The 15,489-nt window shown below is 43.9% G+C and overlaps 1 long non-coding RNA gene across 1 annotated transcript in view, besides 2 other annotated features; it reads left to right on the top strand.

Moving 5' to 3' along the window:
• The window catches only part of TLR8-AS1 (TLR8 antisense RNA 1), a 40,484-nt gene extending 36,836 nt beyond the window's left edge, over window positions 1-3,648 (top strand). The window contains exons 4-5 of the long non-coding RNA NR_030727.1: window positions 214-275; window positions 2,480-3,648. This is a non-coding gene — a long non-coding RNA (TLR8 antisense RNA 1). The remainder of the gene's footprint in view (window positions 1-213; window positions 276-2,479) is intronic.
• Window positions 4,641-4,935: an enhancer, noted in NCBI's record as "tiled region #5588; K562 Activating DNase matched - State 12:CtcfO, and HepG2 Activating non-DNase unmatched - State 13:Ctcf". NCBI's record gives its function as "activates a minimal TATA promoter and a strong SV40 promoter by Sharpr-MPRA in K562 cells, with weaker activity in HepG2 cells {active_cell/tissue: K562 | HepG2}" and the evidence as "EXISTENCE:reporter gene assay evidence [ECO:0000049][PMID:27701403]".
• Window positions 4,681-4,740: an enhancer, noted in NCBI's record as "active region_29415". NCBI's record gives its function as "activates an Ori minimal core promoter by ATAC-STARR-seq in GM12878 lymphoblastoid cells {active_cell/tissue: GM12878}" and the evidence as "EXISTENCE:reporter gene assay evidence [ECO:0000049][PMID:35858748]".

Below are 15,489 nucleotides of genomic sequence, written 5' to 3'. Positions count from 1 at the left end.
AAAGTCATTTATGAAATGATTTAAATACAACCCAAATCAGACACACACGACGTATTTTTGTTAGTTTTTGTGTATTTGTGTGTACAGGGGAGAAAAAGGGAACATTATTCCATTCACTAAGAAAACTTCAGTGTATTCTTTTTTAAAAAAGTTACCATAAATTTGTACTGAACTTCGGATTTCTCAAACTCGTCTTCCTTGTGTAATTCACAGATGTAGGCGAATAACATGAACATTGCTTCATCTTTGTTCCACAAGTTTCTGAGACAGCACCGGTAGGTATGGGTCTCCCTCCCACTGGGCTGTGGCCGCAAAGCGAGCATCTTTCTCCTGGGCGCCCCATGCCTCCTCCAGCACCTGGCATGTAGTATAAGCTCAATGAGTGTTCATTGTATGAACGAGTGAGTCAATGGCTGAGCATTCGTGAGGCTGGAAAATTTAATCTTCCCGATTTAGTCTGATAAATGGATTCCATTTTATGCTCGGAGAGCAAGGGCCTCAAAAGGTGTAACCAAGAGCAGAGGTCAGCAAACTGCAGCCTTTGAACGAAATCCGGCCCAGAAGTGAAAACATTTTTAGATGAACATTGGCAATGGATTTGCTGATACAGAACACTAACTTTAAATTCCAACCAAGCAGAATGTTAGCACCTCCAAAAATGATTCCATTCTTCTCATTATTAAACCTATACTACAAAAAAACTGCCTTCGATTATTATTATTACATTTTGAGTTTCATCAATTACATAATTGTGGAAATTTTTATTTTACTATATAAGTAGCTACATAATATGCCAAATTTGCTTCTTGGCCTGTAAAACCTAAGATATTTGCCATCTGGCCCTTTACAGAAAAAGTTTGCTGACCCCTGGCCACAAGAATAAAGTTTAGAACGGGATGTGATATGTTTCATCTTGCCTTACACCCCAGGAGTGGGAGAAAACCAAATTGGCAGCAGGGTGGGCAGAGATGACATCCATATATAAATGGACTGTGGAACACCTTGTTATGAAGGAAGGCCTGTCAGCAGTCAAAGAATGGCTTGGGTGGGTATACCTAGATGGACCTCTAAAGATCACACCCTAAGGGAATTCAAGACCTGGTGCATGGTTTGAGAGGTGATTCCTGTGACATCAGAGAGTGCAGCCTGGGCCTTCATGGGCAAACCAAAAACATTTGTGATTGTAAACCCAAAGGCCTCGGCTGGCCGCATCCAAGTCTCTTGGTTTCCCTCCAAACATTTGCTTGGAAATAAAGTAAAGAAAGTAAGTAAGAATGGATCGAGTGCAGTGGCTCACACCTGTAATTCCAGCACTTTGTAGAGGCCGAGGCAGGAGGATCACTTGTGCTCAGGGGTTTGAGACCAACCCGGGCAACATGGCAAAACCTTGTCTCTAAAAAAATACAAAAATTAGCCAGGCATGGTGGTGTGCACCTGTAGTCCCAGTTACTCGGGTGGCTGAGGTGGGAGGATCGCTTGAGCCCAGGAGGTGGAGATTGCAGTGAGCCATGATAGTGCCACTGCACTCTAGCCTGGGTGACAGAATGAGACTTTGTCTAAAAAAACAAACAAACAAACAAACAAAAAACAGCGAAGTAAAAATGACTTCCAGCCGTTGACTGAGCAAGGATCCTTGGAACTGGAGAGTTTGTCAGCTTTCTAGAAAAGCGAGACTCACATACCCTGGCTTCTAGGCCACCAAGTGTCAGCCAATTGTAGACCAGTCAATTGGCCTTGTAAAGCATGCTTGTATACGTATATATATATATGTGTGTGTGTGTGTGTGTGTGTGTGTGTGTGTATCATCATGTATATATGATATATATATATTTTTTATGTACATATGCATGTTTATATGTATATATACACACATACAGTCTAGTATCTATGTCAAGCAAACTCATAAAAATGAGTTACTTACTTATACCAAATGAGCCTTCAGTTTTCTCCACACAACCAGTACCATAAAAGATGAAAATGAAAATGGAATTGACACCAGGGCAGGAAGGTTACTGAGAGGAAGAAGCTCCATCTGCTTGTAAAGTAGCCAGATGATTGGCTTCTGCCCAAGCCCAGAAACTGGTCCTTGGTGGCCAGGTCTGCTCTCCCCACCCTGCACTGTGAGGCCAAAAGCTCCTGGGCATCTCCTAGACCAATCTTTCCTTACTCTTCCCCTTGCCATCCATGCTGACACAGATCTTGATTCCAAAATGGAGAAGACCTGTCATGAACCGCTTCTGCCAGGCAAGCCTGCCAGACAACGTGCACTTCCCAGACACACAAATCACCAGCAGACAAGCCTCTCTGAGCCTTAGTTTTCTCATCTGTCAAATTGGGATAAGAATAGTAGTATCTTTCTCAGATGTTGGCTTTGAGGATTAAATTGTTCATATCGTGGAACTCTTAGAAAAGTAGCTGGCACAAAGTGAGCGTTCAACTAGCAGAGCTGGAATTATTATTACTACGCTTGTTGTTACAGACTTCACACATTCCTGGGCTGTTGCCAACAGTAGGCCTGAAGAACCACTCTTGGGGCCTTCCCCAGCCCTGGACACAGCCCTTTCCTCTCGAGTGGATGACCAGACAATTCATAAGGCAGCAAATGGCTTCCCCATACTGGGGCTGCCGCGAAGTACCACATATGGAAATAACGTGCAACCCTGGAAAAAGCTCAAGGTCTGGGAAAACACCAAGTGCCTGGAATCAGTTGTTTGTTGTGAAATCAATGCTAAATATATACAAAGCTAAAGTGAAAGGACTTACGTGGAAGAAACTTTTAAGTCAACGATTCAGATGAAGAAATGCACAAGAGGCTTCCTTTACACAAATCTCTTGTGATCCTGGTTTTAAGTGGGGGTGCAGAGCTCCTGAGAGGACAGCTACTGTGCGTCCATGTTTAGGAGCCACGCTGCAGCTTCCCTTGGCCCCTTTAAGCGGCTGCCCTTCCCTGGCCAGGGAAGACACGGGTGAGATAGGCCACAGGTGTTTCCTGAAACTGTCTCCTCCTGCCTCCACTTGACCTTAGCTTTGCAAATCCTGGGCGCTTTGTGGTCACCTCTGGGATGCAACTTGTTGGTGTCACGCCCACTTTGCCAGGTCCTGCCGGCAGATATGGGCTGCTTGTTTTCTTTGTCCCCAAGTCCCCACGTGCCTCCTGATGGTCTGTGGCCCAGATGGGATGGAGTCCTCTGCACCAACACCTACTTAAGGCGCTACCCACCCACCACTCCTGTTCTCTCTGCTTGTTACTATAATCCCCATTTTCAGAGGAGGAAACAGGCTCATAAAGGCTCAGTCATTTACCCAAATTCAGCAGCAAAGCTTGGATCTGAACGGAAAGCTCTGTCGTACTTGCCACTTTCTCTGCTGGATGACATTTTGGTGGCTCCGTGTTACATTCACCAGACTGTACAAGTTTTGAGCCCAAGGGCTGTTGTATCCATCCAGCCTGGTCTTACACATGGATGTTGGTGAAAATGGATGGGGACGAATGGATGGATGGATGGATGGATGTTGGTGAAAATTAAAGGGAAACAGAGGATGATATTGATAGAATTAAGGGAAGTTTCTTTTGTATATAAAATTTTTCTGAGTATAATGTTATTACATGGTCCTAAATATCCCAATAAAGGAATGTAGAACACATCAGATGAAAGCTCTCCAAATTCCACTCCTCAGAGTTGACCATTGTTAATGGTTTGGTATATGTTCTTCAAGATTTTTCCTATGTATATACTGACATATAATTACGTACAGAATTCTTTTTGAAAACTGAGTTCACATGATACGTGCTATTCTGCATCATTTTTTTTTTCCAGCTAGCATTCTGGTTTGGATATGCAGATCTGTCTTGTTCTTTTTTTTCAGTGGCTGTGTTCTGTAGCCGGTTATGCATGTGGTATTTTGCTTAATGAATCCTCTATTGATTGGCATTTGTGCTTGTCCTAATTTTTTGAAATTACAAACAATGCTGCGACAAACATCTTTGGAGGGAAGATAATTTTAAAAGAAGTGTGTTCAAGTGAGGAGGAAAAGCCGGCAGGATGGAGAAGAGTGGTCACATGTGCAACGGACAGAGTCAACCTCATGGAGCCGCTTTCCCAAGTAGGGAAAGTGAATGAACCAGGGGCAGTGGTGGGTGGGCTTGCAATTTAGGAAGGGAAGGGCCACCTCTCCTTGGAATGAGAACGAATGCAGATAGGCTCTGTGAGGAAAGAATCTGGGTTTTGTGAGATGATGATGATGAAGTCGGTGACATAAAACATGTTTGATGTAGAGAGGACAGAATTTGAGGACGCATCCATTGGTGGGCAGATATAGGAGGCGAGGCTGCTTGTTGGGGACAGGGCATCTGGTAGAGGGATCAGTACCAAATGCTGAAAATATGTGGGAAGATGTTGGGGATAATTGATTCAAATATATGAGGGCTGTTGGAAAAGCACAAGAACAACCTGCTAGATTTGAGGCCCGGGGCTTGGCATGGAGAAGATTTGAGAAGGGCCATTCCTGTTATACAGGCTACTTCTCCATGGAATCTTCATTTGATTCCTCACAGTCTCAGGACTCCTCTGCCCTTCCCCCCAATATGTTTTATTTCCTCTTTTTTTCTAGTTCTCTTTTGCAAGTCTTCCTATCTCCAGAATCAGTGCTTTTAGCATTCGAGAAAGGCATTTTTGTTTCTTCCTTCCTGCACCTGCACCTTTTTTCAGGGACTGCAGAAACGCCTTCACGTGTCAGCATTGGCTTGAAGATCCAGCCAATGGCCAAGATGTTAATAACCATGCTGCCACAAGATGGCGCCCACCACCCAATATCTCGGGCTTCCTGATCAGACTCGTAGGTAATAATTTTTGTGTGGCAACGTACAGTATAAAATTTTATTTTTTCATTTTATTTTATTTTATATTTTAAACAGTGTGTCGCTCTTTCACCCAGGCTGGAGTGCAGTGGTGCAATCGCGGCTCACTGCAGCCTCAAATTCTCAGCTCAAGTGACCTTCCTGCCTCAGCTTCCCAAATAGCTGAGACTACAGGCACACACCATGCCCAGCTAATTTTTTATTTTTTGTAGAGACGGGGTCTTGCTATGTTGCCCAGGCTGGTCTCAAACTCCTGGGCTCAAGCGATTCTCCTGCCTCAGCCTCCCAAAGTGCTGGGATTAAGTTTATGAAATGTACACATGTCTAAAAGTTTTGCTTCAGGCTTTTTTTTTTTTTTTTTTTTTTAGACAGAATCTCTCTCTGTCGCCCAGGCTGGAGTGCTGTGGCGCGATCTCGGCTCACCGCAAGCTCCGCCTCCCGGGTTCACGCCATTCGCCTGCCCCAGCCTCCCGAGTAGCTGAGACTACAGGCGCCCGCCACCACGCCCAGCTAATTTTTTGTATTTTTAGTAGAGACGGGGTTTCACCGTGGTCTCGATCTCCTGACCTCGTGATCCGCCCGCCTCAGCCTCCCAAAGTGCTGGGATTACAGGCGTGAGCCACCGCGCCCGGCAGGCTTTTGAGCATCTTCAGTTAAGGAAATCCAAGTTTCTAAATAAAAAACAACTTTGATTCATAGTTTGCCCTATAGGCACCAAAGTGCTTAAGATGTAAGAAAAGGAAACATGAAACGATCTTTTGCTCGTCCCATTTTGGAACAGACAGAGGATTTTAACTACGTTCTATGCTAGGGAGGGGTCACTTTTATAATTGATGAATGATACAAAATCGAGCTCAGAATTCCCAATGTATATTCTAAATCTACTTACTGAGTTAAATTTTGAAAACAAAACAAATACAATTATGCAAGAAATATACCCAGGTGAAAAATGTTCAAATAGTTAAACATATGTCTAATGTATCTGCTGTGACTTAGTCCACCAACTGAAATGTGCAGAGACGTTTGTTTTTTATGACTCCATTCTGTGTTTGTCTCTGAGCTTTCATCCTACCTCACTCTCCAGAAGATCAACTCAGACCCTCGGAGGAGTGGGGAGTGTGAACCCCGAAAATTTGAAAGAGGTCTCAGTTAATTTAGAAAGTTTAATTTGACAAAGTTAAGGACGCGTGCTTGTGACACAGCCTCAGGATGTCCTGACGACATGTGCCCAAGGTGGTTGGGGCACAGCTTGGTTTTACACATTTTTGGGAGACATGAGACATCAGTCAATCTCTGTAAGAAGTACATTGATTCTTCCAGAAAGGGGGGACAACTCGAAGCAGGGAGGGGGCTTCCAGGTCACAGGTAGGTGAGAAACAAACGGTTGCATTCTTTGAGTTTCTGATTAGCGTTTCCAAAGGAGGCAATCAGAATATGCATCTATCTCAGTGAGCAGAGGGATGACTTTGAATAGAATGGGAGGCAGGTTTGCCCTAAGCAGTTTCCAGCTTGACTTTTCCTTTTAGCTTAGCGATGTTGGGGGCCCAAGGTATTTTCCTTTCACAGGAGTCCTTGCCTGCCAGGGATTGGGTACAGCTTCTGAGTCTGATGCAGTGGCAAACCAGAGTGGGGTGTGTGGAAGCGGGGTACACAATTGATTTTTTAATTCAACTCCTTCATCTCAACTCTGTGGAAGATTGATCATTTCTCACGTGGAGTTGGCAGGGTCCCACTTTTCTCAGGTCTGACAGACCTCCCTGATCTGTTAATATTACCTTCCTCCCCTTCCCTCTTCACGTCTTTCTCCAGAAGGGGCAGAAAAGCAGCCCTATCCCTTCTCTTCCTGGACACCTGGTTGATGCCCTAGAGTCGCTTTGTTCCACGGGCTCTTCTATGATCCCCTAAGGCCTTTGGGCCTTCCTGTAGAAGACAAAAGCCGACTAGGTTGCTTCCCCTGCACGTGCCCCCTGAGGCAATGCATACAGTTTAGGATCAGCTTGAATGGGGATGAAGGAAAAGAGAAAGAAGAGATGGCATTCTCGAAGATTACTCCACCTCCCAGTGTCATCTCAGTGCTTAAGGTTATAAATATAAATTGTGTCTAGAGCAGGGTTTTGCAAAAGTTCATCTTTAGGTCATCTACATCAGGATCATCTGGGTGGGTTTTTATTTAAAACATAGATGTCAGGACTTTGCCTTCATATCTATTAATCCAGGGGCTCTAGCACAAGGCCTAGGCACCCATAGGTGACTCTATTAGCCAGTCAAGTTTGACAACCGCTCAATAGAGCAAGACCAGCATCACTTGGACCTATCTTGTAAGAGATGCAAATTCTCGGGTTCCAACTCCAGACCTACTGAATCAGAAGCTGAGAAGTAGGGCCCAGCAATCTGTTTTAACTAGCCCCTCAGGTGATTTTGATGCCTGCTCATGCTTGAGAATCTGTTGCAATCAAGCAATGACTCTGAAGCAGTGGTTCTCAACTTTGCCTGCATGTTGGAATCGCCCTCCAGCTTTAAAATCCCAAAGCTCAGTCTGTAGCCCAAACCAATTAAATCACAATCTTTATGGTAGAACCCAGACATAGTCTTTTTTTAAAGCTGCCCAGGTAATTGCAAGGTGCAGGCAAAGTTAAGAGCCACTGTAACAGGTTGGGGAGTTGATACCTAAATCACTAGGACTGGCCAGGTGTAGTGGCTCACACCTGTAATCCTAGCACTTTGAGAAGCCAAGGTGAAAAAGGATTGCTTGAGCCCAGGAGTTCGAGGCCAGCCTGGACCTTGTCTCTACAAAAAAAACTAAAAAAACTCGCCAAGTGTGGGGGCACACGCGAGAGGCTGAGGTGGAGGTTTGCTTGTGCTCAGGAGGCAAAGGCTGCAGTGAGCTGAGACCTCACAACTGCAGTTCAACCTAGGCGACAGAGTGAGACGCTGTCTTAAAAAAATAAAATAAAAATCACTGAGACTGTCTCACAATAAATATATACTCACTGCTGGGATATTGTGGTATTATCCTCACCCTGAAAATCTCTGGTTGTAAACCTTGTCATTGATGGGACAGGGTCATCTTCTGCCTGTGTGTCTGATTTAGCAGGTCTGAGGTGGAGCCTGAGAGTCAGCATGTCTAATGAACTCCCAGGGGATGCCCATGTTGCTGGTCCAGGGACCATGGTTTGAGTAGCAAGACCCCGCCCAAGGTGTCCATTACTCCCATTGCCACAGGAGTGTTCAACTGCATCTTTCCAGCTCAGCTCTATTCTTTGAGCTCTGTAGACTATGGGCACCTACTGACTCAGCATCTCCATCCACTTGGTGATTCGAAGGCTCCCAAATGCCATATGACTAAGACACACTCTTTGTCTCCCGCCCCCAAATATGGTCATCTTTCAGTGTTGCCTGGTTCAATTAACTCATTTTTCACATCTCACCTTGGGTGGCCTTCCTCAGGGCAGCCCGCCTCTCCTGCTCCCTGGTTTCGCTCCCTTTTCCAAGTCATCACTCTTATAGAAACCTCTTCCTTTCCTTCATCACACTTGAATCTCCTTCAGTGCAATAATCTGATTAATGGATTTCTGAATAAGCTCCAGGAGAACAGGGACTATTTCTATTTTGGCTCGCCAGTGTCTCCTCACCCTAAGCATCATGCCAGGCCCATGGTGGCCACACCATAAATATTTATTGACTGACTGACTGAATGGATGGATGGATGGATGGATGGATGGATGGATGGATAGATGGATGGATGAATGCAATCAACAGTTTCTGAATATTACATCTATGTAATGCAGAATACAAATTTCATAGCTATATTCTATACCATTTCAGAAATGCCTAGGGGAAATTGTAGAACCCAATCAATAATAATGAGTCTTGGAAATTCTTTCTTTTTTTTTTTTTTTGAGATGAAGTCTTGCTCTGTCACCCAGGCTGGAGTGCAGTGGCACAACCTCGGCTCACTGCAACCTCCATCTCCTGGGTTCAAGCAATTCTTGTGCCTCAGCCTTCTGAGTAGCTGGGACTACAGGCATGAGCCACCACGTCCGGCTAATTTTTTGTATGTTTAGGGATTTCACCGAGGCCAGGCTGGTCTCGAACTCCTGACCTTAGATGATCCATCTGCCTTGGCCTCCCAAAGTGCTGGGATTGCAGGTGTGAGCCACCACACCCGGCCAAGTCTTGGAAATTATATCTTTAGCCCCATGAAGGTAGGGACTCTGTCTATCTTCTGTACAGTAGATTCATAATGAGGGGAAACCTGCAAGCTTTGGTCTCTGCTCTGCAGGGAAGAGTCTTTTTCATGTCATGAGTCCAAGCACGGCACCATGTTTTACAGACCCGTCTCCTCAGTGTAGACAATCTGGTTGAGAATTTATTCATTTATTAGCTTCAGGATGGTACTTTAGAGGAACTTTTCTCTTCTCCCTACATTTCGAAATCAACCCCTGAAATACGGAAGGGTGGGGACTTGTCCCTCTTCCCCTTTCCTCCTTCCTATGCTTCTCACAAGAGACAGAGTGACTTGTGGGATTGGTGACAGTGGGGAAACTGTCCCTGCTGCTGCTGCCTCAAGTCTCCTGGCTCTTGTTCTCTTGGGACAGCCTTCCTATAGGTGGAGTGCACCCTCTGTTTGTTTCTGCTGCCCTAAGGTGAGCTCTCTGTGACAGGGATCCTTTGTTCTGGATTGATGGCTTGCGTTTCTTCTTTGCTACCGGGAGGCACTGGAGAGTTGCAAGAGTGCAAGTCCAAGCTATGGCCTATGGAATTCATGCACCTGCTCACTCTCAGCTGCACTGTCTGCAGTGTGAATTGCTCAGCTGGAGAGGGTGTGAGTAACCAGCTCCCTCAAGCCCCAACAATTCTGAACACTTAGTTTTATAACTAATCTATACAAAGCATGGCTATGAGCTTATCGGTAATTCTCACACACACACACACACAAAATATATACACACTTGCATGTATATGTATGCATATACACACAAACTTACATGGACAGGTATATATGTGGGTATACAGAATATATATGTGGATGTGTACATATATATATATATATATATATATATATATATATATATATATATATATATCTCAGCAAGTAAGCACCCCAACGTCTTTGACTTAATTAGCAGGCATGAAACACCTAAACATCAAGCATTCCAACTGGGATTCTAAATTCCCAGGTGAATTTCACGAAGGCTAGACTTGGCACAACTTTGGAGACCAGTGCCTCTTATAGGCAGGTAAGCCCTGCTGGGCCCATTCTCAGAAGAAACCACTCCATACCTTTGCATACAAACTCTGCTATGGTCTCCTTCAACATGGCTTTTAAAATGAAGTTTTATCAAAACATCTGGAAGAATTTAAACTCACATGTGACCATGGAGAACACCAATTATACCCAGAGTCAGGAGGAAATCAGGAGTAGGGGTGGGTAGGAACAGGAAGAACTCAATGCTGATGCTTACAAGTATCATCACAGGGTTTTATGCAAGTTAACATTTGGCGCTACTTCATACTTTTGGAACTTCTTGTGGGATCACAGGAAAAAGCAGAATTGGGGAAATCTGGGAACTTGGATCAACTAAAAGGGACTTTCCTCAGATAAGCTACAAGCAGGAAGTGGTCAGCATTCTTATGGTAAATAGAAGATTATTGAAGATGAAAAATTATATTTAAAGCCTACAGGACGTCTGGGTATCTGGGACATTTCTGGAAATTTTGATGGATTTAAATCTAGAGAAAACGAATTTTGATTGAGAATATGTAACAAATGGAAAAGCAATACGTTGAGTGTCACCCTTTAAATTAAAAAAATTGTTAAATAATGTATGAATATAGTACATGAAATGTTGAACATAAACTTTATGTACAGAGTAAGTGATGAGTAGAAAAAATTTCCCAGATACTGTATACTAAAAGAAAAATGTTAAAAATTTTCACTGTATGAAGAATATAGAATTAGCCTCTTGAGATTATGTAATTGATTAGCCAGGCGCGGTGACTCATGCCTATAATCCCAGCATTTTGGGGGGCTGAGGCAGGTGGATCACCTGAGGTCAGGAGTTCGAGAACAGCCTGGCCAACATGGCAAAACCCCGTCTCTACTAAAAATACAAAAACTAGCCAGGTGTGGTGGTGTGTGCCTGTAGTCCCAGCTACTGGAGAGGCTGAGGCAGGAGAATCGCTTGAACTCGGAGGTGGAGGTTGCAGTGAGCTGAGATCGCACCATTGCACTCCAGCCTGGGTGACAGAGTGAGACTCTGTCTCAAAAAAAAAAAAAAAAAAAAGATTATATACTTGATTAGATATCCAAAGCAATAAAAAGAATTTAAAAAGTAATAAAAAGAATTTAAAAAGTAATAAAAAGAATTTAAAAAGTTATTTATGGAGTGTTTGATAGATGTCAGACCCTGTGCTGAGTACTTTTTATGGTTTATCTTACTTAGGTTTACAATTAATCTATGCAAAACATGGCCATCAGTAATTCAGTAATTCTAATTATCAGTAATTCTAATACACACAAATATATACATGCTTGCATGTATATGTGTGCATATACACAAACATATATGGACAGCTATATATATGTGCATACAGAATACATAGGTAGGTGTGTACATGTATATATATCTTAGCAAGTAAGCGCCCCATCATCTTTGACTTAATTAACGGGCGTGAAACACCCAAGCATCATGCCTGTTCACCAACTGTCTTCATGAACTGACAGTCAAGTAGGCAAGCAGGATGAAAAAGACCTAAATCCTCAAACTGGCAAGTTACTGCATGCTTCAAAATGCTATTTATAGGGCGGGGGGTGGTGACAGAAGGGAATGGTTAGTGGTTGGATTGCTCGGAAATATGAGAGAGAGAGAATGTTCAGCTAGAATGTGCAAGAAAGATTACTGATACTCAAATACAGTTTTAAAATGGGGGCCACAGTCTATAAAAAATGGAAATGTAGGAAAAAGAGGATCGGTCACCCAGTTAACTCAAGGCTATACATCTACATCTGCATGGGCAAAAGGAAATTCATGACTGGCCCCATTTTGAGACTTAAAGCAAAAACAATGGAAATAAATGATAGAAACAAATATTCAATAGTCTGTGGCCTTCAACTTCTTTGTAAACTGCCCTCCCATCAGTAAACATTCAACACACAGCCCTACATATTTCTGTATTAATACACTGGGTATATGATAAAAATAGCCACAGACATACTTTTAAAAACATGACTATATCTGTTCTTACATTTTCTTCCCACATCCCCCTTTGGAAGCCCGTCTAAGGGTCTCAGAAGCAGAACATCAGCATCCAGGAGGGATTTCCCACCCCACTAGGTGGCGCTTGGCGCCACATAAGTAGAACCACAGCGTCTATCAGTAAGATGTTATGGAAGTTACGGTAAAGACATCCTTTTACCCACAAATGTAATCAGCAACTCTATCAGGACTTACGAGACTTCAATTCCATTAACCACCTGCCCCTGTCTATCTAATTCTGCCCTAGTGTTCTTGTTCAAATTGTCTTCACCTTTGGGCCCTAAACAGAAATGCCAGTCCTATATAGTTAAATTATACCTGTCCAAAAACAGTGCCCAGCGGGAAGCAATTTGAGTTTAAGTGCAGCTCCACTCCCGGGAAGTAGGTTGAGAGCACCAAAGTTTATACACAAAAGGAAGGAAATTGAGCACAGCTTGGGGGTCTGGGCTTTCCTTACTAAAGTGATCCCTGTAATAACAGTCCCTGGTGTCACAAAGGAAGATGTGGTGCTTCCCAAACTGCTCTGCAAGCCAGTTGCTTCAAAAGTATTCCAGGGATGCGGACTCCTGGGTCCCAGAGATTGAGCAGTTGACTTTGCCTCTCTGATCTCACCTTTATCTCTGAGTTAACCCATCATCTTTAAGATGGAGCTGCTAATACTAGCCTCATAGAGGTGATGTGAAGATTCAAGGGAATAAAGGAAGCATTTAATTTGCATTTGCTGCTTAATAGATGTGACTTCCCTTCCTCCTTCCCCTCCACCCCTTACTGAATGACATTGTCGGGATACCAGTGACTTCATCTTGAGCCCTTCTTCCTAAGATCCTCCTCACTCCCTCCTTGCCTGTCATTCCCTTTGTGGGCCTGCCCTCATGAGCAGGAGCCAAAGTTGGGATTACTTTAAAATGCATCTTCTCCATTCAGAACATGCTTCCTGTGTTCTGTTTTCTTAGGTGGCCTGTTCTGGAGAGTTGATCATCTCACAAATTAATCCATCACAATGTGTTAATGGACAGGAGTGATGTGTTGAAACAACCCTTGGAACGTTGTAAATTAACTGGGAATTTTAGTTACAATGCCTCAATCCAAAGGCAAAGAAATCAATCATGAGAAAAGTAGGCCCAGAAGAGAGATGGGAGCTATAAACTGTTTTATTTAATGCATGTCACCTGTTACTAAGTTCTGTTTGGTGGGCCTCCATCTGGACCTGGTGCAGGGATGTAACCACCATCCCAGGGTGATAGCAGGACAACAACCTAGTTCTGGCTCCCAAAACAGCCCAAGCAATCTTCTCAGCAGTGTGGTCCCCCTGGATAATGGGCCTCAGATATGGTTCATGGAGATGTTACTACAAACTTCTTTTGCTCAAGTCAACTCATGCAATTCACTGTTATGAAATCCCCTGGAATCAATGCCTCATGGTTTTGCCTTGGCCAGTGAGAAGTAAAGCAGCCATGTGTCATACAAGAGCAATATGGCTTCCTAGTTAGCCGTCTCTGTCTAGTTTTACCCTCAGTAGTTGCCACTGGCCAGAAGAATATTGAGAGCCATTTTCTGTTTGTGGGAGCCGCTGTCTGGCTCATCTTTGCTCTAGGGAAGTCTGAAAACTGCCATGAGGCCCCCAGGACTTCCCATTTCCTTCTGGATTTTACCAGACTATTTTTAGTGAGTGTTCAGTGTGAGACACTGTAACATGAACCTTCTCAGTCATTTTAAGTCTGAGCTTTTCCAAAATGTTTAATTAATATAAATTCCCAAGAGGGGGCAGTGATAAACATATGAAGACATGCAACCACTGATGTCATGACAAACATGTTAGAAATGAATTACAACCTGAGATTAGGGGAATCTTAAAGACTGAATTAGTGCTTGAAAGTTGAGATAAGTAGAAAGAATGAATTTGAATGTGTCAGAGTCCAGCCAGTGTCACCTAGGGAAGATTCCATGGAGCCAATTTTAGAAGATCATGCTCACTGAAGCAGGTGGGGGACATGTGTGTGAGAGAGACATAGGTTTCCAACCAAAAGTGCACACAAAACCACACCTTCCAAACAGAAGCATCCACCTGCAACAACGGCTGTCTTCTTTTCATTCTTGTACATTGCTTGACACTTGCTGTGGGTGTCTAGAGCCAAAAAGGAAACCGAGAGGGAGGGGGAGGCAAAAGAAGAAAGGAGGGAAAGAAGAAGAAGAAAAAATAAAAACCTGAAACAGTGTGAAACTGCCCTGTTGTGATTTCATTCTCACTGGCATGGGTGGCCCCTATGTCACCAGGGCCCTTTCCACACCATCTTATGAGTTTGGGACTTATTCTCTTTTTAACCCTCCTTCTTTTTTTTTTTTTTTTGGAGACCAAGTCTCACTCTCTCACCCAGGCTGGAGTGCAGTGGCTTGATCCTAGCTCACTGCAACCTCTGCCTCCCAGGTTCAAGCGATTCTCCTGCCTCAGCCTCCCGAGTAGCTGGGATTACAGGAGTGTGCCACCACGCCCAGCTAATTTTGTATATTTAGTAGAGATGGGGTTTCACCATGTTAGCCAGACTGATCAACCCTCCTTCTTCATAGCGTTGGTTGGCAGGTGGGTTGGTCTCTTGTTCGCCTTCAGTACATTGTTAACTTGGTAAAATGGATTAATTTTCTGTCTTGGTGTTGTCTGAAGCACATCTCTGTTTGAGTCTCCTCAATCATGTTCTTTGATCGTTTCCCTCCGACATAGCTATTGGACTTTGGAGGGTACAAATCATTCCCAATGTTTCTTAGGGTCAAGGGCTTCACCTTCCAGTAGATGCCAGGAGCAGGGTGTGCTATAACTAACTGTTTCTGGAGCACAGCGACCCAAAGCTCCAAGGAGGGATGTGCTCCCACTGTCTGTGACTAAGCCTTTCCCATCAACAGTGTTCTTGCTTACTGAGCATGTGCAGCAGAGGCGGAGGAACAATTCCAACCTCAACTCCACCCCCATGTTAAAATTGGGCCATAAATAAGTAGTAGGATGTGCAACCTGGTCCTCTTGTTCACCCGACTTAGGATGAGAAGGAGGAAGTAAATAAAAAGCATATCTCATGGGAGGGGGAAAGGCATTATAAATAAGAAGAGTGTGTGTCCTTGCTATCCCCATCACAGCTTCCTTGGAGATGGGCACAAGTTACTCACACTCTCAGGTCGCTACATCCCCTTGCATACTCTATATTCCTTGGCCACATGTAAGAGATGATCTGGACCTAAAAGAGTGTCCAGACAGATGGAGCTGGAAGTAGACCTGCAAATGGGGCCGAGAGATCCTGACTCAGGGTCAGGGCTACAATCAGACTCATCCTCTCTCTCCTCTACAAACTGCAGACACTTGTTTTGCCTTTTTCTCATCCATAACAT

The sequence above is a fragment of the Homo sapiens genome, chromosome X (genome assembly GCF_000001405.40).
Source record: "Homo sapiens chromosome X, GRCh38.p14 Primary Assembly".
NCBI lineage: Eukaryota > Metazoa > Chordata > Mammalia > Primates > Hominidae > Homo > Homo sapiens.
The sequence above is the reverse complement of the archived record's forward strand: the minus strand, read 5'-3'. Positions and strand labels throughout refer to the sequence as shown.